The sequence below is a fragment of the Homo sapiens genome, chromosome 13, assembly GCF_000001405.40.
Source record: "Homo sapiens chromosome 13, GRCh38.p14 Primary Assembly".
Taxonomy (NCBI): domain Eukaryota; kingdom Metazoa; phylum Chordata; class Mammalia; order Primates; family Hominidae; genus Homo; species Homo sapiens.
Window position 1 is genome coordinate 49511856 of NC_000013.11, and position 24018 is coordinate 49535873.

The window sequence follows — 24018 nt, forward strand, 5'->3', positions numbered from 1 at the left end:
TCCTCATCTTTAAATAAGGACAATTTTAATTTGGGGCACTCAGTCTCCTTTTCTTGTTTGGTTATGTTTGTCTTGGGTAAATAGCTAGAAGTAGAATTACTGAGTCATAAAGTTAGTGTATGTTTAACCTTAAAAGTGATTGCATTATTTTACATTTCTACCAATAATATGTAAGAATTTCATTTGCTCCACATCCTCATCAACACTGGGTCTTGTTATTTTAGGCAGTCTAGTAGATATATATTGCATCTCACTATGGCTTTAATATGCCTAAGGGTTAATGATATTGAGCATCTTCTCATGTGCTCATTTGCCATTCATAAACCTTCTTTCATGAAGTGTCTATTCAAATTTTGTGCCCACTTTTAATTGAATTGTCTTATTATTGAGTTGTAAGTGTTTTCTAAAATCTGGATACAAGTCTTTTGTCAGAGATATGTATTGTGAATATTTTCTCCCAGTCTCTGGCTTGCCTCTTTGTTTTCTTAGCAATGTCTTTCAAAGACAATTTTTATTTTGATGGAATCCAACTTACTTTTTCTTTATGCTTTCTGATTTTTATAAGAAATCTTCGCCTATGCCAATGTCACCAAAATTTACTCTTATGTTTCTCATGCCCTTTTGTTATTTGAGTGTAATATGTGAAACATTGATCTTCAATTCAGATTTGGAGTCTTCTGGTTTCAAGTAGCACATAGAGACTTGAGCCAGCCTAAACATAAAAGAGGGTTTATGATAAGGTTTTGGGGGCATTTCATGTTTCCTAAAGGCAGGCATGCAGGTGGGTGTAAGAAACAGCTAGAAAGCCATTGGGAACCTAGAATGTCCTCTTTCTAGCCCTTGTTTTTCTTTCTTTGCAGACTGACTTGCTCTAACCACGTGGCTTCAGCTATTGCTCAAAGCCCATTCCACACTTTTAGGATAGGGGATCAGACTGACCCAGCTTGGCATCAGGGTTCCACCCAGGTCAATGAGTTATTAGAGGTCAGGATTACAAAGTATAAAACATGCCCGGAAACCAGGGTCATTCCCAGAGAAATGGGATGGCTTATGGTCTGCTCATCCACCCCCAAAGTTGCCACTGTTTTACCCCCAGTCCATTTCCCACTCCTGGTTTGATTTTCCACTTTTGGTATGATTTTCTGACATGTAGCTTTCAATATTACTTTGTGCATACTCTGGATTTTTTTTTCCAATCTGCAGCTGTATTCTTCAGGACTTGTGGAATGTGAGGATCAGGATCCACTTAATCCTGATAGAAGTTTTGATGTGGAATCAGTAAAGAAAGAAATCCAGAGAGGAAGGAAGTTGGTAAGTGTAAATGATGTTATTTCTTATACTGGATGAACAGACCCTCAAGGAATGCATTCCAAAGGAGTCTATTTGACTGATACACCAGGGATAGAGAAGCATCTTGGAGAGCTGGAAGAAGTAGGAACTGTATTGGAAACCTCAATTCAACTTAACATTTAATTTTTTTTTTTTTTTTTTTGAGACGGAGTTTTGCTCTTGTTGCCCAGGCTAGAGTGCAGTGACACGGTCTCAGCTCACTGCAACCTCCGCCTCCTGGGTTCAAGCGATTCTCCTGCCTCAGCCTCCCGAGTAGCTAGGATTACAGGCACGGGCCACCATGCTCGGCAAATTTTTGTATTTTTAGTAGAGACAGGGTTTCACCATGTTGGCCAGGCTGGTCGCGAACTCCTGACCTCAGGTGATCTGCCTGCCTTGGCTTCCCAAAGTGCTGGGATTACAGGTGTGAGCCACCACGCCCGGCCAACATTTAATATTTTAAAATAAACTACCATATACTTCACCAGTAAAGTGATCTGAGTTAGAATGCTTTTGCTGTAAGTAGAAGAAAGCTCAAGTCAAACAGACTTTTACAAAGAGGATACTTACTTTTTCACTTGATCAGAGAAAACACCTGCTTTCCAAGTTGGTTGATTGAGTGGCTTGATAATGTCATCAGGGGCCCAGGTTCTTCCTCTCTGGCCTCCTGTCCCCAACATCAGCTGGTCCCATTGTGGTCATAGGGTGGCCGCAGGCAGCAACTGAAGCATCAGGCTTTCTTGTTCATACCCAGTGAAAGACAAAGGTCATCCATACACATGGAATAAGCCCCCTTCTGAAAGTTTCATTAGGTTGCACCCCTCTTTCTGCACCAACTGCTGGGGGTGGCCATAACTAATCAGGGGTCAGCTCCTCATGGGTCATAAGGGGGCTATTCAAGGAGGAAGAAATGCTGAGAAGTCATTCCACTGGGCTTATTGCAGCGACATCCTCTCAAGGACCCTTCACATCTTAGCAAGCAGGACAGCAAGTGTGAGCACCTCACATTCTGACTACAACCACAGGGTTAATAACCAGGGACAAATGTATAGTTAGTCTTTGCAAGGCATCAGCATCAGCAGCATCCTGTGGTAGGTGTGTTACATACATTGCTCTAGGTAAACTCCCAGCTATAGGTAAAATGATGCCCATTTTAATCGAAGAAATGGAAAGTGCAGGGTGAAAGGCAACAGTCCAGATGGAATTCTGCAAATTATGCTATCTTAGGCAGTGTACACAATACTGTAGTAGGTCCTGAAGCAAGCCATAAAAATGGACTGTGTGTGGCCCGGGCATGGTGCTGCATGCCTCTAATCCCAGCACTTTGGGAAGCCAAGGCAGTTGAGGACTGCTTGAGCCCAGGAATTTGAGACCAACCTGGGCAATATAGTGGGACCCTGTCTTTACCAAAAAAGAAAAAAAAATTAGCCCGACACAGTGGCATATACCTGTAGTCCCAGCTACTTGGGAGGCTGAGGTAGGAGGATTGGGTGAGCCTGGAAAGTCGAGGCTGCAGTGAGCTGTGATCACACCACTGTACTCCAGCCTGGGCAACAGAGTGAGACTCTGTCTCAAATTAAAAAAAAAAAAAAAGAGTGTGTGGATCCTGCTCTCAATGTCTATGCTATTACTAATTAATACTTGGCAAGACTGGCTGCTGACATCATTAGTGCTGACAATGCCACATCCCTAGGATTTTGGGTGTGATGAGATGGGTGAACTGATTAGAAAGTAGCAGACAGACCTCAACTGGAATATTTTTTTGCTCTTCACTAATTGGATTTGAGTGGGGAGACACAGAGTTAAAGAAATCTCTGTGAAATTCTAGTAGCCATCCAGTTATGAAGAGACCCAGGCTGAGAAATGAGGGCAGTTGATTGGAGGCATAATATTTGGGGGAAAGCAGGTACCTGAGGGTTTCTGCGGACCTTGGGATGCAGACTTCCCTACTGGGAAGGCTTTGGGATGGGTTGGAAGTGGAGGATAAAGGAGAGAAGAGAGGAAAGTCACCTGAGGTAATAGTTACCCTCTCACAGCATTTATGGAACTCTTGGACTATGTGGGCAGATACATGGCACACACCCAGGGTGGGGACAGGCCAGTGCTGTGGTATTTTCAGTAAGCTGGGCAAGTACCTTGAGGGTGAGCAGCAGGGGCCCTCAGCAAGCAGGCTCCTCCCTAGGATTCAGACTACCAATCTGACAGAGCCACATGGACATCCAATAGCATTTCAGAGTAAAGTGGCCAAAAAAGTACAGTTCCATCTCCTATACACACACACACACACACACACACACACACACACACACACACACACACATTCTCCATCTAAATCTGCTCATAAAAACAGCACTATCATTATCCATTTGCCCAAGCCAGAAGTCTAAGGACTCTCTTTTCCTCGTCAACCTCCCAGCCCAACACCAAGCCCATGGGCACGAACTCCTAGGTGCATCTTGCATTCATCCACCCACTTCTCTCAGCGTCAGTAATCCACCATAGCGGAGTCACCCATCTTGTTCTCTAAAGCGAGTACTGACACTCGCCCGACTGTCTCTCCTGCCATCCCTACCCCAGCCCGTAGTTCTCCACCCAGCAGCAGCCCAGCAGCCTGAGTGATCTTTCAATAATGTTAATCAGTTTATGTTCCCCGTGCAGAAAGATAAAACCCAACTCCTTACTCTGGCATGTAAGTCCTACGTGACCCAGCCCTTACTTACCCCTTTGATCATCCTGAGACTTCCCTGTGCCCACTTCGCTGCTCCAACAGCACTGGCCATCTGTCTTGTCCTCGCTGTAGCTTGCCAATGGGGAAGCTCATTCTTGCGGCCAAGACCCAAGGCCCTCTGCTTAGAATGTCTTTCCTCCTCCTTTTTGCATCTGGGAGCTCTTACTATTATTCAGATCTCAGCTTCCATATCACCTCCTTAGAGGTGACCCATTTTACTAACTGCCCAGTCTGAAGTAGGGACCCAGTGACACTGTCACTTCACCCTATTTTAATTCGATATAATGTGTATATAACTTTGTGAGACGTTTTAAACTTTGCTTTATTTGATCATTGTACCTTGTCTCCAATAGAATGTAAGCTTCACGTGGACAGGCATCTTTTCTGCTTTGTCCACTACTGTTTTCCCTTATCCTAAAACCATGCCTGCCACATCATAGCTACTGCATGCTAAATAAATACTATATACTCATGTATTTTTAAATGAATAAATGTTTATTAGCCATTTGTATTTTTTCTTCTGTAATTTGCCAGTTACCATTTTTCTGCAGGTTATCAGAATCTTAAAACTTTATCTAGTATGCTACAAACATTCTTCTTTCAATCTTTTCCTTGTCTTTTAAATATTTTGAATGCCCTCACTATAAAATGGAAGTTTAAAATTTTTGTATAGTAGGTTCTGTCAGTTTTTGTTTTTGAAACAGATTCTCCGTCTGTCGCCCAGGCTGGAGTGCAATCACAGCTCACCGCAGCCTTGATTTCCTGGCCCCAAGCCATCTTCTGGCTTCAGCCTCCCAAATAGCTGGGACTACAGGAGTGTGCCACTATGCCCCGCTGATTTTTAAAGTTTTTTGTAGAGATGAGGTCTCACTGTGTTGCTCAAGCTGGTCTCGAACTCCTGGGCTCAAGCAATCCTCCTGCCTCAGCCTCCCAAAGTACTAGGATTACAGGCATGGGCCACCATGCCCAGCCTGTCAGAGTTTTCATTTGTGGCTTCTGGGTTTTCTTCCTGCCTTAGACAGCCTTCCTTGCCTCCATACTACGCTTTTTTTCTTTCTCCTATATTTCCTAATCTTTAAGAGTTTTTTGTTTAACATTGTTATCTGGTTCGAGCTTTAATCCATGTACAACTTATTCAGGAGTATATTGTGAGGTAGGGATCTAACTTTATTTTTTTCCTATATACATAGCCAGTTACCCTCCTCCCAAATTAAATGATCGTTCTTGTATGCTCTGATTTGAATTTCCACCGTTATCATAACCTTATTTCTTGCCTATATTTGAATTTCCTTTAACTGTTTCTATGCTTGCTTGTGCCGACCCTGGGCTATGGTGTGAGTGACCTCCTGTTCTGCAAGGCAATTTCACTGTGCCCCCACGTCATTCAGCCAGAGTATCATGCTGATCAGCCTTGGTCCTGGCTGGATTCCCCTAAACCAGTTAGGCTGCTGTGGCCACACACTGCCTAGCCATCATGACACCACTGTCACATATAAAATACCAGATAGATAAATACAAGCCAGGGATCAAATAAATTGAACCAAGAAAAAACTGTTAATAGAGTTGTAGAATTTTTAAAAATTTTTGGCCCTACTACCTAGATTCCCTTACTTTATCTCACATTATCCTCAATGGCAACTCTGTAAGACAGATATTATCACCCACAGCAGGTTCTGAGTCCGAAAGAGAAATCACACCACTCTCCGTGGCACAGCCAGCGACCAATCTCGCCTGTCTCAAAGGGCCCCCTAGTGGGGCCCCTTGCCTGGAGCTGGACAAGTTTGCCCACTCTGCTTTTTAGAAAATTCTTTTTAAAAGACAGAGACTGTTTTTTTGAAACAAAAAGCATTTTTCTGCTTTTAATCAGATCATTACAAAACTGTCTGTCCAAGCATTCCGGTTAGCTGAGGTTTCGCTGAAATTCCCAAATGAGCAGCCAAATATAAGTACTGTACCCTAATGTTTGTAACGGGATGGAATCTTGCTGATGATGCCCAGGATAAAATGCAGGGCTTCTGGAACTTAAATAACATTTAATGATATCTTTGAATTTTAACAAATAACAACAAACAGGTACTTACTCAGTAAAATCTATTCTTCTGTAGAAATGCAAATTTTGTCATAAAAGAGGAGCCACCGTGGGATGTGATTTAAAAAACTGTAACAAGAATTACCACTTTTTCTGTGCCAAGAAGGACGACGCAGTTCCACAGTCTGATGGAGTTCGAGGAATTTATAAGTATTTAATAAAACATTTTTAAAACCACATTTGGGGGATTGGGATAAGGAATGGTTGGATTAAGACAAGGAGACTTTGAAGACTAATTTTATGTAAATGGTTTTCAAATGAGAACAAAGCCAGTTTGGGGGATGCACAGGGGTTATGTGAATTTTGAATTTCAGTGAAAAATCTATATATATATATATATTATTTTAGTCACAATATCTTGAATAATGAGATCAATGTTAGGACAGCATGTTTTTTTAAATATGATTTTTGTGAGCTATGTTACATTCGTAAGATGATTTTTAAAAATTCCATTCAGAGGCTGATGTTTTTCCTGCCAGTGGGCATATATTCCTAATTTTCCCATAGTGTTCCAGGCACTATTTTATTTATTTATTTAATAACCACTTGCTTTATGCCAGGCATAGTTCTAAGTGCTTTACAAATGTTAACTCATTTAATCCTCATAATAGTCAACTGAGGTAGATACTATTATCTCCATTTTCCAGAGGAGGAAACTGGGGCCTTGAGACACTCAGTGACTTGTCCCCAGGTTACACAGCTGGTCAGTGGCAGAGCTGGGCTGCAGGACTTCCAAGTCCTCGCTCTTTGCCACCTTGTTGTCTTCAGGTATGGGGACTATATATTCTAAAACAAGAGGGCAAGCCTACCATTGAAAGAAGCTTGCTAAATAATTTTTTTTTTTTTTTTTTTGAGACAGAGTCTCGCTCTGTCGCCCAGGCTGGAGTGCAGTGGCGCGATCTCGGCTCACTGCAAGCTCCGCCTCCCGGGTTCACGCCATTCTCCTGCCTCAGCCTCCCGAGTAGCTGGGACTACAGGCGCCCGCTACCACGCCCGGCTAATTTTTTGTATTTTTAGTAGAGACGGGGTTTCACCGTGTTAGCCAGGATGGTCTCAATCTCCTGACCTCGTGATCCGCCCGCCTCGGCCTCCCAAAGTGCTGGGATTACAGGCGTGAGCCACCGCGCCCGGGCTAAATAATTTTAAATCTGATTTCGAGCAAGTTCCGTAAGTATTTTGTTGCTAATCAGACATGAAATGTGTAAATATGTAAATTTCGTACTGCACTTCTTTTTATATTTGATTCACTAAGAAACTCACAGGTTGTTATAGTCTCAGAGTTTCATTTTTATTATTTACCTTACCAAAGAGCTCGTTTTAGTATGACCTTTACAATGACCTTAAACACAAGATCAAATGAAAAGGAATGTCCCTGCTATAGCTTAAAGTTTGAAAAAATATACTGATCACACCCATTAGAAGAACTAACAAATAGGGACTCAATAAAACAGTCTTCTTGCATTGTTTTATCAAGGAACAGGTGAATTTTTACGCATTTTTAAACTGAATTTAAACCTTCATGCCTATCATACATGAGGCACCTTGCTAGGTGCTACGAGATACAAAGAATAAAATATAGATTGAACCTCAGAGAAGTTATCACCTGGTGGGAAGGCCAGAAGAAGGGTCAATGCAAACAGAAGCACATGGGATAACGAGAGCAGGAGGGGTTACATGAAAGGAGCTTGGCCTTGAGAATTGTTGACACTGTGGAATGGATGGGGACATGGGGGTTCATCCTGATATTTTCAACACTGTTTTATATGTTTGAAAAAATTTAAGTACTTGGGAAGTGAAAGTGCTCAGAGATACCAGAATCAAAGTGGGATGAGATTAACTTTGTTTGGGTGTTGCTGGGAAGACTGCATGGAGGAGGTGGGAACTGGTATAAGATGGGAAGAAACGGTATTCCCCTAGGCAAGGAGGCCACTGCTTCCTGAGAGTCAGCGCCATCTGAAGAGGAAGGGAGATGAAGCTGGGTGCCGAGGAGGAGGAAAGGTTAGAAAGTGGCCTGAGCAGCTCTATAAAACGATTCACTTCATTTCTTTTGTTTTGTTTTGTTTTAAGACAGAGTCTTGCTCTGTGGCCCAGGCTGGACTGCAATGGTGCGATCTCAGCTCACTGCAACTTCCAGCCTCCTGGGTTCAAGCGATTCTCCTGCCTCAGCCTCCTGAGTAGCTGGGTCTACAGGCACGTGCCACCATGCCCAGCTAATTTTTGTATTTTTAGTAGAGGCGGGGTTTCACCATGTTGGCCAGGAGGGTCTCCATCTCTTGACCTCGTGATCTGCCCGCCTCGGCCTCCCAAAATGCTGGGATTACAGGCATGAGCCACCGTGCCCGGCCTCACTTCATTTCTTCATCATAGCCTGCTATGCTGCTGCTTTCTCTTGGAAGATACTAATCAGTTCTAGGCCCTTTGTAGGTCAAATCTAAGATCTGGGGCAAATACCTGTTTTCATCGAAAATGACTTTTTCCTTAAATTAATGCTTGCAATTTTGTGCTATTTATTGTTGAAAACCAGCAGAATCTTGTACAGTCAGATGGAAATCTGCATGTCTTAGATTGTGGATCTTTAGGTATCTTTATACAGTAAAATCTCACTGACCACTGTATATGAACTAGTATTGTTCATAATACTTCATCAGTACTCATTCCTTGAAAGAACATAATCATCTTCCTAAGTCCCTGAGGGCATAAAAGACATCTAACTGAGTCTCCATCTGCACTCAGTGTGGGTCACTAATTTTACACAGGGCTTCAAAAAAAAAAACTTTAGTGTGACGCCGTCATGAAAAGTAGGTTGGTACGTTTTTAATCACAAAAATAGACATAATATTTGAAACCTGTAAATAAAAATATTTTACAATTCTTTGAAATTAAATATTTCAGACTGCTTTGCCAGCAACATGCTCAATTCCCGATCATCGCTCAAAGTGGTAAGTTTCTAAAATTTAGCACTGTGGGTTTTAAAGAAAGGTAAACATTTATGTAACATAAGGAATAGTCTAATTTTCTAGCCTCGTTGAATTAAAATACAAATGTTTGAGTTAAAATTTTACACATCTAGAAAATTGACAACTTCTTTGTGTACTATGTGATATGACTGACTAATTTTTTCTTCTTTATGAACAAGACCTATTCTCTTTGAACCATTCCCTGGTATCTTTCATTCTCCCTACGCTCACAGAACCAAACTAAGACATGGGAAAAAGCCTTGACTTTTGGGACTGCTTCTCTTCCATAAGAATTTTCAGTAGATAAAATTTTAAAAGTGCTGCACCTTCCCTGAGTGAAAATTCCCTAAGGATGCATGGTTAGCATTTCAGTTCTAATTAAGGCAGACTGGATCCTGGCTAACTGGAGTCATGGGGTATACTTTCATTCATGAGTGGAACAGCAGTGTCTTAGCAGCACTACATCTGCAATGTTCATTGTGAAGTGGAGTCAGGACCTCGTTGGAAGACTTCGTTCTGCGTCATGCCAACTGCATTTTATGGTGATAACATTCTCCAAATAGCACCTCTACAATCATTTTTCAGTCGTTACCCTTTTAACTCAGCAGGAAAGGCTATTACAGATACTTCTTTAAATCAGTGTTTATTGACAGGGAAAAGCACCAGCAATACACACTTAACCAAATCCTTGCAAATGTCATCTATTAAATATCTTCATCCTTATTAGTCTGTTTTACTTTGAATATCTTCTGAGTGAAATTGAGTGCATTCCCATATCTTTTCACCAATTATATTTGTTTTCCTATGACCCAATTTGTTCATTTTTCTATTCAATGAACCCTCTCCCCAGAGAGTTCCCCATGTGCCAATTTTTCTACTCAATTATTTACCTGTTTTGCATTAAACTTATAATATCTTTTTTAAAAATTAACCCTTTATCATAAGTGCTGCAAACACTTAGTTGAAGTTTGCCATATCTTTTGACTTTGTAAAAACTTTTGGCATATGAGTTGTATATTTCATGTAGTCAAACAGTAATCTTTTCCTTTATGGATTCCAATTTTTAAATGGTTTATATTTTTAGCTAAATTTTCAGGAGTGAAAAGAAAAAGAGGAAGGAAGAAACCCCTCTCAGGCAATCATGTACAGGTAATTTGACTTAGTTTTTATAGCTTTGCATTTCTTCATACAGAGTCCTTATTTAAACCAGTCTGAATGTCAGGTGAAAGGTACTTTCCAAATCGTCCAAACAGAGAGCCTTTGAAGAACATTCTTCATTTGTGTTCTCAGCTAAGGCTGCTCCTGAGGTTGCCTTTTTAGGAAGAATCCCATAGTCGGGAAGCTCTTAGATAATTCCTAGATGATAGAATCATGATGAGATGAGCATGAAAATGAAGCTGGAAGTTCCAAGCACATAACCTTCAGGAGGTGACATTCTCCGAGCTCCTATAAATTCCCTGGCACCAAACTAGTGAGAGCATCTGACCCCACAGGTGCTTACAGTTAAAACGGGCAGAGGGTGCAGTCAAACATCCTTATGGAGCCAAGTATTTCCCAGCTGCATGACCCACACCTGACCAAATCTGTAGCTCTTATAAATTTCTGGATTATGTATAAAATGTATGAAAATATTTTGGGGATTTGAGTTTTTACACATCAGCACATATAAGCTAAATTCATATGCGCCAGCAACCTTCACCTCCTCCTGTTTATACAAGGGGTGCTTGTCAAACACCTCTTAATGTTTTATAATACAAAACAAAAATATATTTGATGTTTACATCTAAATATGAATATGGGGTTTTTTTGTTTTTTTTTTTTTTTGAGACAGAGTCTCTCTCTGTCACCCAGGATGGAGTGCAATGGTGTGATCTAAGCTCACTGCAACCTCTGCCTCCTGGATTCAAGTGATTCTCCTGCCCCAGCCTCCTGAGTAGCTGGGATTACAGGCATGCACCACCACGCCTGGCTAATTTTTGTATTTTTAGTAGCAACAAGGTTTCACCCTGTTGTCCAGGCTGGTCTCGAACTCCTGACCTTGTGATCTGCCCATCTTGCCCTCCCAAAGTGCTGAGATTACAGGCGTGAGACACCGCGCCCAGCCAGGGCATGATTTTTACTGTAGGCATATCATTTAGTTATGCACAGCAAAAGACTGGTTTTCATTTTATGCAATATTAAAATCAATGTAATGCAATCTTGATTTTCTCTCCTAGCCACCCGAAACAATGAAATGTAATACATTCATAAGACAAGTGAAAGAAGAGCATGGCAGACACACAGGTTTGCGCTAAGTGTTGTCTGTAACAAATATGGCCTACAATACTTATAAAAATGTCAACCCACCTGTTTCAAACTTGGTATCCCGCCTAAATCTTTATTCTTCTAGGCTTGTGGTAATTAATGAGTATAAATCTTTATCGCAACTGTCCACTCTATTGTAATCCCAGCATATCAAGATAACTTAGGTTGGAATGGTCCATTGCATTCAGTATTAAGAAAAGATAGACTTCTATTAATAAAGACACAGACAGGCTTGCCTGAGCTCAGAATCCAGCAATGTGTCACCCCTCACACTGTGACCCCTGTAACTGTAGTTCTCTGTTCTTTAAAGAAATAGACATTCCACTAACAACACATACAAACTGTGACAAGAAGTGACAGGGGCTGTTATGTCAAAGACTTAAGGGTAATTTTTAAAAATCCTCTTAATTCAACTACATATCGGGTACAGTGTACACTGCTCAGGTGACAGGTGCACCAACATCTCAGAAATCACCACTGAAGAACTTATCCATGTAACCTGAAACCACCTGTTCCCCAAAAGGTATTGAAATTTAAAAAGTTACAGTTTTATATGTTTAAAAAAGCCTCTTAATTCATATAGTTATTGTAAGCAGAGAAATTTTCATTTTTACTTTTTGTAACATTTTATTCATTGTTTCAGCTGGCCAAAAAAAATGAGGTATGATGAAATTATAATTAATAAAAAGGGTGAAGGTGCTGTATTATTTTACTAAGTATGTGCATCCACCACTAGGCAAGGTCTGAAGAAATAAGCATAAAGTAATTTATGATTAGCTGCCCTAAGACTATTTCCTTCTCAAATGTTTGTCTTATTCTTAGATGCAACTGTGAAAGTTCCTTTTCTTAAGAAATGCAAGGAAGCAGGACTTCTTAATTACTTACTTGAAGAAATATTAGACAAAGTTCATTCAATTCCAGAAAAACTCATGGATGAGACTACTTCAGAATCAGGTACTGATGAAGAGCAATATTTCGAAGTATAGAGACTTCTCCCAGATCTAGATTTAAAACAAAACAAACCCAAGAAAAAAAAAAAGGCCCATTTTCTTCCTATACTACTTTTTTCTTCTATCAGCTTTTGGAAATGCTTACTATTTATTTCACTTTTTGGTTTTGCCCTATAGAAAATAATCCCATTCAAATAAACATTTTTTATATTGTTGCCTACAATATAAGCTGTCCAGCTTGTCATTCTTTACCTTTACCTCATTCTTTTTTTTTTTTTTAAGACGGAGTTTCGCCCTTGTTGCCCAGGCTAGAGTGCAGTGGTGCGATCTTGCCTCACTGCAGCCTCTGCCTCCCAAGTTCAAGCGATTTTCCTGTCTCAGCCTCCTGAGTAGCTGGGATTTCAGGCACACGCCACTACGCCTGGCTAATTTTCTGTATTTTTAGTAGAGACAAGGTTTCACCATGTTGGCCAGGCTGGTCTTGAACTCCTGACCTCAGGTGATCCGTCCACCTCGGCCTCCCAAAGTGCTTGGATTACAGGCATGAGCCACCATGCCTGGCCCTTTACCTCATTCTTTAATAAAATAATTGGACCAGATCTACTATCCTTCATAAATCAACAGGATGTGGGTAATTTACAAACTCAGTAATTTAGTCAAAAGTAACCTCATGCCCTGAGAGTTGTGGTACATTTTCCAGAGGTGTCTAACAGGTTGGCCACTAAGAGAATGTGCCATTCAGAGATTGATTCGGTCACATATGCTCCCCTGCCACCGCCCTGCATTCCTGTTGCTAAGATCTGAGAACAGTGTTATGTTACAGTTTTGATTTTGGAATCCAATTCTATTCCTTAATAAGCCAAGTGTCCTTTTTTAAATAAGGTTAACTCAAACTTTAAAGTATAGAAGAAGGAATTTTAATGTTTTGACTGATGTTTGGTTTAAAGATGTACTTTGTTAAAGAAGTTTCTTTCTTAAGGGCTCTTTGGGAAGTCAAAGTTCCATTTGTATGTGCAGGTATATAGCTACTTAGCTTTTTGTTTGTTTGTTTTTGAGGCAGAGTCTCGCTCTCTCTCCCAGGCTGAAGTGCAGTGGCATGATCTCAGCTCATTGCAACCTCTGCCTCCAGGGTTTAAGTGATTCTCTTGCCTTAGTCTCCAGAGTAGCTAAGATTACAGACATGTGCCAACACACTCGGCTAATTTTTGTATTTTTAGTAGAGATGGAGTTTCACCATGTTGGCCAGGCTGGTCTTGAACTCCTGATCTCATGTGATCTGCCCGCCTTGGCCTCCCAAAGTGCGGGGATTACAGGTGTGAGTCACTGTGCCCAGCCTTACTTAGCTTTCTTATAACTTATATCCCATGAGTTTAAAACCTTTATTATAAATATAGTTATTTTACAAGGACAAGCTGGACAGCTTATATTGTAGGCAACAATATAAAAAATGTTTATTTGAATGGGATTATTTTCTATAGGGCAAAACCAAAAAGTGAAATAAATAGTAAGCATTTCCAAAAGCTCATTTATTATACTATTTTATTCATTTATTTCCTCTAGACCAAGCACTTCCCAAACAGTGTGCCTGAGAACCACCTGTAGGGCTGGTGAGGACACAGATAGCTGGGCCTATCCCACAGAGATTCTGATTCAGTACAAATACCAAGAATTGGGGGCCAGGCGCGGTGGCTCACGCCTGTAATCCCAGCACTTTGGGAGCCCGAGGTGAGTGGATCATCTGTGGTCAGCAGTTCGAGACCAGCCTGGCCAACATGGCAAAACCCTGTCTCTACTAAAAATACAAAAATTAGCCGGGCGTGGCGGTGCGCGCCTGCAATCCCAACTACTTGGGAGGCTGAGACATGAGAATCGCTTGAACCCAGGAGGCAGAGGTTGCAGTGAGCCAAGATCGCACCACTGCACTCCAGTCTGGGCAACAGGGTGAGATTCTGTCTCAAAAAAAAAAAAAAAAAAAAAAGAAAAAAGAGAAATGCCAAGAATTACATTTCTGACAGCTTCCCTGTAGTGCTGCTGCTGCTGTTGCCATCTAACATTAAAGTTCCATGGCACATGACTGCTCTCTTTCCTTTCCCCTGTTTTGGATTACATATATAAATGGAGGAGTTTCTGCCTATACAAACTGTTTAATATTGAAAATGTTTCTCTCCCTCCAGACTATGAAGAAATCGGGAGTGCACTTTTTGACTGTAGATTGTTCGAAGACACATTTGTAAATTTTCAAGCAGGTATATGAGTTATATAACATCTGAGCAGCATAGTTTTGAGAAATATTTATCACGATATTGAAACAATATACTGTACAGGTGATAAAAATATTTTAGAAGAATGTTCATTGTTTTCTTAAATGAGAAAAGCCAATTACAAAAACAGTATGACCCCGCCCACCTGCCCACACACACAGGAAAAAAATATCGAGGTACATGTGCACAGACAAAAGCTGCACCTGGTGGAGACAGTAGTTGGTTGTAGGTAGTTGGAATATAGTGATTTTTGTCTGTTCTTTTACTGCTATATTTTCCAGATTTTCTATATACACACAAATACTTTTATAATGAGAAAAACTCATTAAAAAAGTAGAGACAACAAAAAATTGATTCAAAAATTGGAGCATATTTTGGCCTGTGTGTGGCCCAGGCAGGAGCTGGTAAAGCTTCCTGCGGCTTCTCTGCTCTTGGGTGGCGAGGCTATGATAAACCATCCCTCCGCTTGCCTCCCTCTCGCTTGGTGAGATAGGTCAAAATTTTAATTCTCCCACTATTAATCCTCAAATCTAATTTAATTTCTTATCAGGGAGGGTTACGACTGATTTAAAGTTCATCAGAAAAAAAAAAAACAAAAACAAACAAACAAAAAATGAGCAAGTAAGAATAGCCAAGAAATGTTTGCAGTAGAAAATCTCGTTTGGTTTGGAGGAGGGAGATTTAACCTTCCTATTAAATATCAACCATTTATTGAGTGAGTCCTCCTTTCAGCATTAAGATGCCCTCAAGACAGGCTACACCTCCACTTGTTTATGAGTCTGGTCTGACTTCTCTATCAAGGCTGCCACACACAGCTGGGCAGGCCGGGCACAGAGTCAAACAGCATTGGTGGATGGCTCCCCCTGAAGTTGCACAACAGAGTGAGTGCCCTCCACACTCTGCATTTCCACAGATGCATCTGTCTCTCCAGCATATGGTAGGAAGACAATAAGATTTCCCTGTGAAGAAATCATTAGTTCATATCCCTGTCTCAACATACACAACCTTTCTCATTTTGGCTTCTATATTATACATTTCTATTTGAATTTTTTACTACATTTATAACCAGCAGGAAAAATACTTTGAAAAATCTACCAAAAAGAGTGTCTGTCTTAATAGTCTTTTGAGGATGTCTGCTAATATATAGCAGTATCCATATTTTTTTAAAGCAGCCTTAAAAATTTTTTTCTAAAAAGAGTTATTTTGTAGGGGACTTCCATGTGTGTTTTTCTTTCATGTAAGGGAACATGTCACACATCACTACTTGGATGGATTAGGTGGGAGTACATATATTATAGTGTAGTATGGCGGGGGTGCCACTACTTAGAACTGCATGAGATTCAACTTAAAAGGCTTAAGTTGGGTTTCACTACCCTGGTTGATAAAAACTTGCTTAATTTAGCCTTACTCATATTTTAAGTTAACTATACGTATGCAGTTATTCTGAATAAAGTTTGTATATGTGTGTAACTGTTCGATTTTGAGGCTTTTAAAAATTACATTGCCATTGACTACTATTTGTTATTTATAAAGCCTAAGTATCTTCCTCCTAAGCTTTTCTAAGTTTCCACAATTAAAAGCCTTCCTATTTCTAAATGAAACCAAAAGCCTTTATGTAACATTAAAAATTGGACACATTTTTAGGAAGGATTTGTCCTTAACCTTGGTATTCTAGCCACATTCTCCAATTATCATCTCTCAATAAATGGATATAGTATAGCATGAAGGTTATACAGTCACTGTTTTCAAGTTCTCAAAGATATACAAAGGGACTTGTTCTGCTATAAATGTGCACAAAATCTTAAGGGTTTACTGAACAGCTTTGTGTATGATAAATGTTAGAATTCTGTCCTGAATTAGAAGGAGGAAGTGAAGGCATAAAGAAACCAGCTCCTGCCCATAAGGCTCTGGATCCTTTTCACCAGAGGCACGAGGATTGTGTATCTGTACCTGCAAGTGAAAGGGGCTAGAAATGGTACATTATTTCTAATAAAACTACTGAATAAGCTGAAATAATTTTATTTCTTCTTTTCATAGCAATAGAGAAAAAAATTCATGCATCTCAACAAAGGTGGCAGCAGTTGAAGGAAGAGATTGAGCTACTTCAGGACTTAAAACAAACCTTGTGCTCTTTTCAAGAAAATAGAGATCTTATGTCAAGTTCTACATCAATATCATCCCTGTCTTATTAGGGATTACCGTTTCCTAAGCCAAGAGTCATGTCAAATTGCAATCAGGCTCAAAACCAGAGACCAGGCTGTGAAATCCACACATCTTTAGAACTAGTCGTCTCCTCTTGGCCTCAGCAGCTCTTCCCTGTTCTTACTGGTTGACATTTTGATCACTCTTTGCACACTCTTGTGTTTTTTGCTCACTGTCACATTCCCAGCACCTAGTATGCTCAGTAAATGTTTGTGGAATAAGTGCATAAAATGTTCTTAACCTTTGATTCTACTTACAGCCCATGATAGCCTCTTAGATATAATAAATTTGGATTATACTACTTTACTTGTACCAAATTTGCCTGTTTTCGTGTCACAAAGTCTGCTTTTGAAAAGTCTCTTTTCAGCCACAGTTATCACGTGGAGATTCATCATCTTCAAAACAGACACCTAAATTTTAAATTGGACTCTGAATAAGAACATTATCGGGAGTATGCAAGAATGAAAAAAAAAATTGACAGTTACATTTTTCTCAATCTAATATACGATTCTGGTTTTTATGCCCACACTATCACGTCTGACCCCTGAAAACTTAACATTCACAGTTCTCATTTTTTACCATGGTACTCTGATTTTCAATAATGCTGCGTCTCAAAATGGGTTTTAACTGAGTCTCCAAGCATGGTGTCTGACATGTAATAAATAAGTACTGGAAAAATATTTGCAGGAGATGAAAAAGAACAGTCCATTCCAGTTGTAATGGCAGCCCTAGCCTAAGTTCTTATATCTTAGGGACAAAATCTAAACCAGTGGATTTCAAATCCGGCCGCACATCAGAATCATGTGGGGCACTTTAAAAACTACAGAAGTGAAGACCCCATCCAACACCCTCTGAACAGATTTCCGCTAGTCTAGATGATTATTGATTACTGTAGCTTCAGCTTCCTATCCTGATATTAAGTCTTAGCAAAGTTTTTGGTTGTTGTTTTGTTTTGTTTAAGACGGAGTCTCACTTTGTTGCCAGGCTGGAGTGCAGTGGTGTGATCTCGGCTCACTGCAACCTCTGCCTCCTAGGTTCAAGCGATTCTCCTGCCTCAGCCTCCCAAGTAGCTGGGACTACAGGCGCGCACCACCATGCCCAGCTAATTTTTGTATTTTTAGTAGAGATGGGGTTTCACCATGTTGGCCAGGATGGTCTCGATCTCTTGACCTCGTGATCTGCCTGCCTCGGCCTCCCAAAGTGCTGGGATTACAGGCGTGAGCCACCACGCCCAGCCATCTTAGCAAAGTTTATCTGACTAATCATTCTGATGTCATGATCTTTATTTAAAAAAAAAAACCTTTGTCCCCCACTTTACTTTCACGTTTAACCTGTGACTCACACAGCATGTAACTGTGCACCATGGAGCACCATGTGTTTGGTGGCCATGAGGCTGGCTACTGGGCAAACCCGAGTATGGGTTCATAAGGCGGAGCCGAGTATGAACTTCAGCTATGTCACTACTGAAAAACTTGAATCCGATTATTTAATCTGAGAATGCTGCTGCCTACCTTATGGGACAAAATATGGACAAGTAAGTAAAATGTGAAGCAGAGAGCACAATGTCTGGCACTATGGGAAATAAATGTTAAAACACACCCATGCACGCACACACTCCCCTTGCTAACATTTCTGTCTTATTTTCTCCATTCTAACCAAACTTAATTATGATAAGCTCTGGAAGGCTCATTAGCCCCCATCTCTTGTGCCTCTTTTTGTTTTGGAGATGAGCTAAAAGGACACTTTATATTTTCCCCTATCCAACACAAGCGTTATCTTCAGAACAACTAACTGCTTGTCATGTTAACCCTATTAACTGTATTAGTCCGTTCTCACACTGGTATGAAGAAATACCAGAGACTGGGTAATTTATAAAGGAAACAGGTTTAATGGACTCAGTTCCGCATGGCTGGGGAGGTCTCAAGAAACTTACAATTGTGGCGGAAAGGGAAGAGGCCCGTCTTACGTAGTGGCAAGTAAGTGAGAGCACGCAAAGCCCAGGGGGAACTGCCATTTATAAAACCATCAGATCTCATAAGAACTCCCTCAATAGCATGAGAACAGCATGGGGAAACCGCCCCCATAATCCAATCACCTCCCAACAGGTCTCCCTCAACAACTGAGGATTACAATTCAAGATAAGTTGGGTGGGGACACAGAGCCAAACCACATCATCCTATTTGGTTTTCTCTCACTGACTGTTATGAAAAGCTCTTTATAAGTATCTCATTGTGTTGTTAATTCCTAAACCTATCTCCCTCTCTCCTAATAATTCATATGTTCTTTGAGGATAGGGAATATGCCTTTCCCTTCAAGTACCCCCAAAGGTACAGACACATTTTTCTACTGTGCCAGTTCAACTGTACTACCCTTCAGCAGGAATAAAATCCAAAGATTTCTATGATGTTTGTTTGTGTATAGTTGAGAATCAAGCAGTTGACATGTTCATGCTGGTACCTATTTTTAGCCTGATACCCATTAAGAATCACACCACTGATTTTTTTTATTATGGTAAAATATATATATAACCTAAAATTTGCCATCCCAATCATTTTTAAATGTATGGTTCAATGGCATTAAACATTCATTTTTGTGCAACCATCACCACCATGCACCTAAAGCAGCAGTCCCCAACCTTTTTGGCACCAGGGACTGGTTTCGTGGAAGACAATTTTTCCACGGACCATGGGGATGGGGCGGTTGGTCAGGGGTGGGGAGGATGGTTTTGGGATGAAATTGGTCCACCTCAGATCACCAGTCATTAGATTCTCATATGGAGCACACAACCTAGATCCCTTGCATACTCAGTTCACTGTAGGGTTTGCACTCCTATGAGAATCTAATGTTCTAATGTTGCCACTGATCTGACAGGAGGCAGAACTCAGGCAGTAATGCTCACTCATCCGCCACTCACCTCCCGCTGTGCGACCTCTTCCTAACACGCCAGGGATGAATATGGGTCTGTGGCCCGAGGGTTGGGGACCCCTGACCTAAAGGACTCTTCATCTTGGAAAACTGAAACTCTGTATCCATTAAACAAGTTCCCCATTCTCCTCTCCCCTCAGACCCTGGCAATGACCATTCTACTATGTCTCAATGAATTTGACTAAGTATATCACACAAATGGCATCACATAGTATTTTTCTGTGAGTGGCTTATTTCACCCAGCATAATATCCTCAAGTTCACCTCTGTGCACCATGTGTCAGAATTTCTTTCCTTTTTAAGGCTGCAGACTACTGATTTTGAAGGAAAAAAACAACTCTATGTGCCTGTTTTAATGTTACTTTGTTTATTAACATGTCGTTCTAAATATTACATAAATACAGCTTACATACTAGAGTATCAAACATTGTTCCAGTAAGAAGTTCAAGAGTACATTTAGGGCTATCTTAAGAAATATGAATACTTTGGCTTCCATTATTACATTAGATGAAAAAATCAATTCAAATAAGAGTTGTCATATCCTGCTATGATTAACAAAAAAACAAGTAGAAAAATAAGAGAGTGTATTTAAAAAAAATAATCAAATGCTTTTTGAAAGACCTGTTCTCTTCACTGCCACACATATTCATACAAATGACTTAGTAATCTAATATGAGAAGTGGTCCTTCACTTATATTAGGAACTTGGTAAATATTTGTTGAATGAATGAACTATCTATGGATATGAATTTACTACTTTAATTTGTGCTTTTTTTGAAAAAAAGTTTTCAAGTAAGAGCAATAGTAAACATACTGAAGTTCACATTTTGCTCAGATCATAAGCCTATAGAACAGTGATTGTTACAAACACCACCCATCATAGCACAAATCAATGTGCATTTCTGAAGCTAGTAAGAAAAGTTCTATCATGTTGTAGAACGAATTCTAACCGACTAATTCACTGGGCTTCAATCACTTGTGATATGGTCAAGAAAAGGGGGCTGGGGCTCCTAGGCTTGTATCTATTTCAGCTATCAGTGAATTCCTATCTTTAGGGCCTCACTCCCCTTCCCACCCCAATAGACACAAATTTAAAAACATTGCTAAAAATAGTAGTTGTAGCATGTCTTCACCCACTTGTAATTTGGCTCTGAAAATGTATTCAGGCTCCAGGTTCAGAAGAGAGACTTTCCAAGCAGGAGACAAAATTCACTAAGGGAACTCACTCAAATGGAAATGAGTTCATGGACCAGAGAGCAAAGCAAAACATTGCTCTTAAAAGCAAGCTCAACGGACACACATGATGAAACTCACAGTTGAACACTCTTACATCCCAAAGTCACCTTCCATAACCAGTTCAAATAAACTACTGTCTTTTAATAGGATCTTTTCAGGAACACCATAATTTTGGTGCTTTTTCAAGGTGAAATTGTGCTGTTATACCTAAGATGTTTAAAAACAGAGGAAAACCAAAAGTGAAAGATGATAAAGTTTCACATAAGCCAATGTGTGATGGATTTGGCCTAAAGTAGATAAAGCAAATTCCACTAAGTCTTGTAAGAGGGTTGACTTGAAGAACCACTTCTTCCAGTCATATATAGTAGATATGATGATTCAGCAGTCATAATTTAGGAAGGCAAGAGTATACTATACATGTCATTATTTTCCTCTTAAGTTTGCATTTATAGAAGAAGGTGGTGGGGGACAATTTAAACTTGAGTTCTCAAGTTCTACCTTAATGAAATAAAACACCATTGGATAAGTAGTGGAGATTCTAATTTATAAAATATTCACCTTCATCAAATTTCTTTCATTATCAACTTTTCACGGATACTTCTAAATTACTATTCTTTATGCACTTAAATCTTAAGAGAAATCTTGACTAACCTAGAATATTTATCTTTACATAATTATCATTTCAACAGGTTTAATATACGTTAAACTTATTACTTTGATTTATCTTGAAGTTAAAAAAGTCATCAACGCAAGCACACAAACAAAAGTCTGAAACAATCTTAATTATTCCTTCACAGTAAGGCTACTAAACTAGCAACTAAGGCAGCACTTAACAATCCCCAGGTCAGCATCTTTAATTCACGATGGGGCCTCTCCATTCATCTCACAATTCCCCAACTATCACTGCTCCTGCTGTCAGAAGATTGTTGATACGTGGCCCAGGAGAGTTGCTGCCAACTTCCCCTTTCCAAGTTCAGAAGTTCCTCTAATCAAAAATGAAAAGAAGACCAAAAACGACTAACTTTCACCCTTTTACATGTTCCAGCCCAAATTTACGAAAGGTCACATTTAAAATACACTTATCTGGAAACAAGGGTTGTTTAAAATGGGCTCAAGAAAAGCCGTACACCCTTGTTATGTTCCTACACAAACAACTGTGTCCCAGATGTGGAAAAAAACAACCTGATGGTCTTTTACCTGCAGAATCACATCACCCGTAGAGCACAAACTGGACACATCCTCAACAGTGCCCCAGAGCACTCACACAGAACCCAGCAGCCTTGCGCTTCAGTTCTTAAAGGCTCCACATTTACTGGCTTTAGCAATGAATTCCTTTAGCAGAGGGCCATCCATTTGCCAAAATGCTGCAGTCTGTGTAACTTCTGTCAAATGATTGATGCAAAACTTAAAGCAGAATTCTTCTAAATCCTGGACACACAACAAAAATAAAAACAAAAATGGCTTTTTTAGGCAACTTTGATTGAATTACTTCTCTCTGAGCCCTTTACCCCAAATCTCTCACCCTCCCCCAGAAAAGATATTTGAGAGGCCAGATACCTAAAACTAGGCAAAAAGGTGACCACAGGTAGGTGTGAGAAAAACACATACTATTTATTCAACGCAGTAAAAGCAATGGTCCTCTAACTCAAAGTACGACTCTTCAAAACACACACGCGCGCGCACACACACACACACGCAAGATCTACAAGGGAAAGAATTTCCTGCACGATTATCACATAATCTAGTTATGCTCAAAGACATTGTTGTAAAAGGCAGAATGCCACTTTAGTCTGCAGAATGTGTTTTGTCACGTTCAAGACATCAGAGAAAAGAATTAAGATGTGGGTTAGTTTAAGAAACAGAAAGGTAATGAAGAGATATGGTCAACCTAAAGTGGCACATTAAAAAGAAAATCCCAGCCGGGCACGGTGGCTCACGCCTGTAATCCCAGCACTTTGGGAGGCCGAGGCGGGCGGATCACTTGAGGTCAGGAGTTCGAGACCAGCCTGGCCAACATAGGGAAACCCCGTCTCTAGTAAAACTACAAAAATTAGCCGGGCGTGGTGGTGGATGCCTGTAATCCCAGCTACTCAGGAGACTGAGACAGGAGAATCGTTTGAGCCTGGGAGGCAGAGGTTGCGGTGAGCCGAGATCGCACCACTGCACTCTAGCCTGGGTGACAGAGCAGAGGCTCTGAAAGAAAATCCCAAAAAATTCACCTTAAATTCACTTTTATGCTCTCCTAATAATGACTTTATTTTTAAAGCCATAAAGAATAATAACACTACAACTTCCACCACACTAATATCTCAGAACATCACCCCCACAGAAGTATATTTACACAGGTTAGTTTTCAGTCAAACAGAAGTCACCAACTACCAACATTCAGGGGAGTAACATCCACAAGGGGTAAACCAGAACCATTTCAAAATCAATCCCTGCCTATGCTAATCCACCCTTTCATCCCCTGCCAAACTTTAATATAGTCTGTCCCTTAGGATGTTGGAATATATATTTATTAAATCGATTAGGCACCTGGAATGCATACAAAGACTCAATATATAAAAGGAAATCACACTAAAAGCTCTTATCACAAATAGCTTGACTTTATTACAACTTGGTTAGCTGGTACATTGAAGGTCAGCACTCCGGGTTCTATCGAACCAGAAGCTCAACATTTCAACTGCAGGTTTTGACCGCACATTTCCAGCTACCACGAGGTGGGAATGTTAGACAGAGTGGAAGGGGCCCACACAAACATGGAGAGACCCCTTTTCTGCTCTCAGCACAGACCTCTGCAAACAATGATTTCCTTGTTCTAAGGGTCCTCCTGTCCCTGGCTAAAAGATGCCCTAGAGTAAACTCCAGAAACCCATCCAGTCACATAACCATTAAGAGATAAACCACAGGCCAGGCGTGGTGGCTCACGCCTGTAATCTCAGCACTTTGGGAGGCTGATGCGGGCAGATCACGAGGTCAGGAGTTTGAGACCAGCTTGACCAACATGGTGAAACCCCGTCTCTACTAAAAATACAAAAA

The 24018-nt window shown here is 40.4% G+C and overlaps 3 protein-coding genes across 20 annotated transcripts in view; 2 read left to right on the forward strand and 1 right to left on the reverse strand.

Annotated features, from left to right (window-relative positions):
* Positions 1-17121, forward strand: part of SETDB2-PHF11 (SETDB2-PHF11 readthrough) — an 84703-nt gene extending 67582 nt beyond the window's left edge. Inside the window, exons 13-21 of one of the 2 annotated variants that reach the window (NR_135324.2) lie at positions 1204-1311; positions 6163-6296; positions 9039-9085; positions 10188-10252; positions 11320-11386; positions 12230-12361; positions 13918-14082; positions 14532-14603; positions 16656-17121. Coding sequence is in view for 1 of the 2 variants with exons in the window: in NM_001320727.2 (NP_001307656.1) it covers positions 1204-1311; positions 6163-6296; positions 9039-9085; positions 10188-10252; positions 11320-11386; positions 12230-12361; positions 14532-14603; positions 16656-16810 (780 nt within the window). In the remaining variant the exon portion in view is untranslated. The remainder of the gene's footprint in view (positions 1-1203; positions 1312-6162; positions 6297-9038; positions 9086-10187; positions 10253-11319; positions 11387-12229; positions 12362-13917; positions 14083-14531; positions 14604-16655) is intronic. The other variant, NM_001320727.2, reaches the window with a different exon arrangement.
* PHF11 (PHD finger protein 11) overlaps positions 1-17121 on the forward strand; it is a 33024-nt gene extending 15903 nt beyond the window's left edge. For 7 of the 8 annotated variants that reach the window (NR_135322.2, NM_001419874.1, NM_001419876.1 and 4 more), the window contains 8 exons: positions 1204-1311; positions 6163-6296; positions 9039-9085; positions 10188-10252; positions 11320-11386; positions 12230-12361; positions 14532-14603; positions 16656-17121. Coding sequence is in view for 6 of the 8 variants with exons in the window: in NM_001419874.1 (NP_001406803.1) it covers positions 1204-1311; positions 6163-6296; positions 9039-9085; positions 10188-10252; positions 11320-11386; positions 12230-12361; positions 14532-14603; positions 16656-16810 (780 nt within the window). In the remaining 2 variants the exon portion in view is untranslated. Of the gene's footprint in view, positions 1-1203; positions 1312-6162; positions 6297-9038; positions 9086-10187; positions 10253-11319; positions 11387-12229; positions 12362-13917; positions 14083-14531; positions 14604-16655 lie in introns of all 8 variants that reach the window. The other variant, NR_135323.3, reaches the window with a different exon arrangement.
* Positions 20091-24018, reverse strand: part of RCBTB1 (RCC1 and BTB domain containing protein 1) — a 53613-nt gene continuing 49685 nt past the window's right edge. For all 10 annotated transcript variants that reach the window (NR_148015.2, NR_148016.2, NM_001352501.2 and 7 more), the window contains one exon: positions 20091-22407. Coding sequence is in view for 8 of the 10 variants with exons in the window: in NM_001352501.2 (NP_001339430.1) it covers positions 22267-22407 (141 nt within the window). In the remaining 2 variants the exon portion in view is untranslated. The remainder of the gene's footprint in view (positions 22408-24018) is intronic.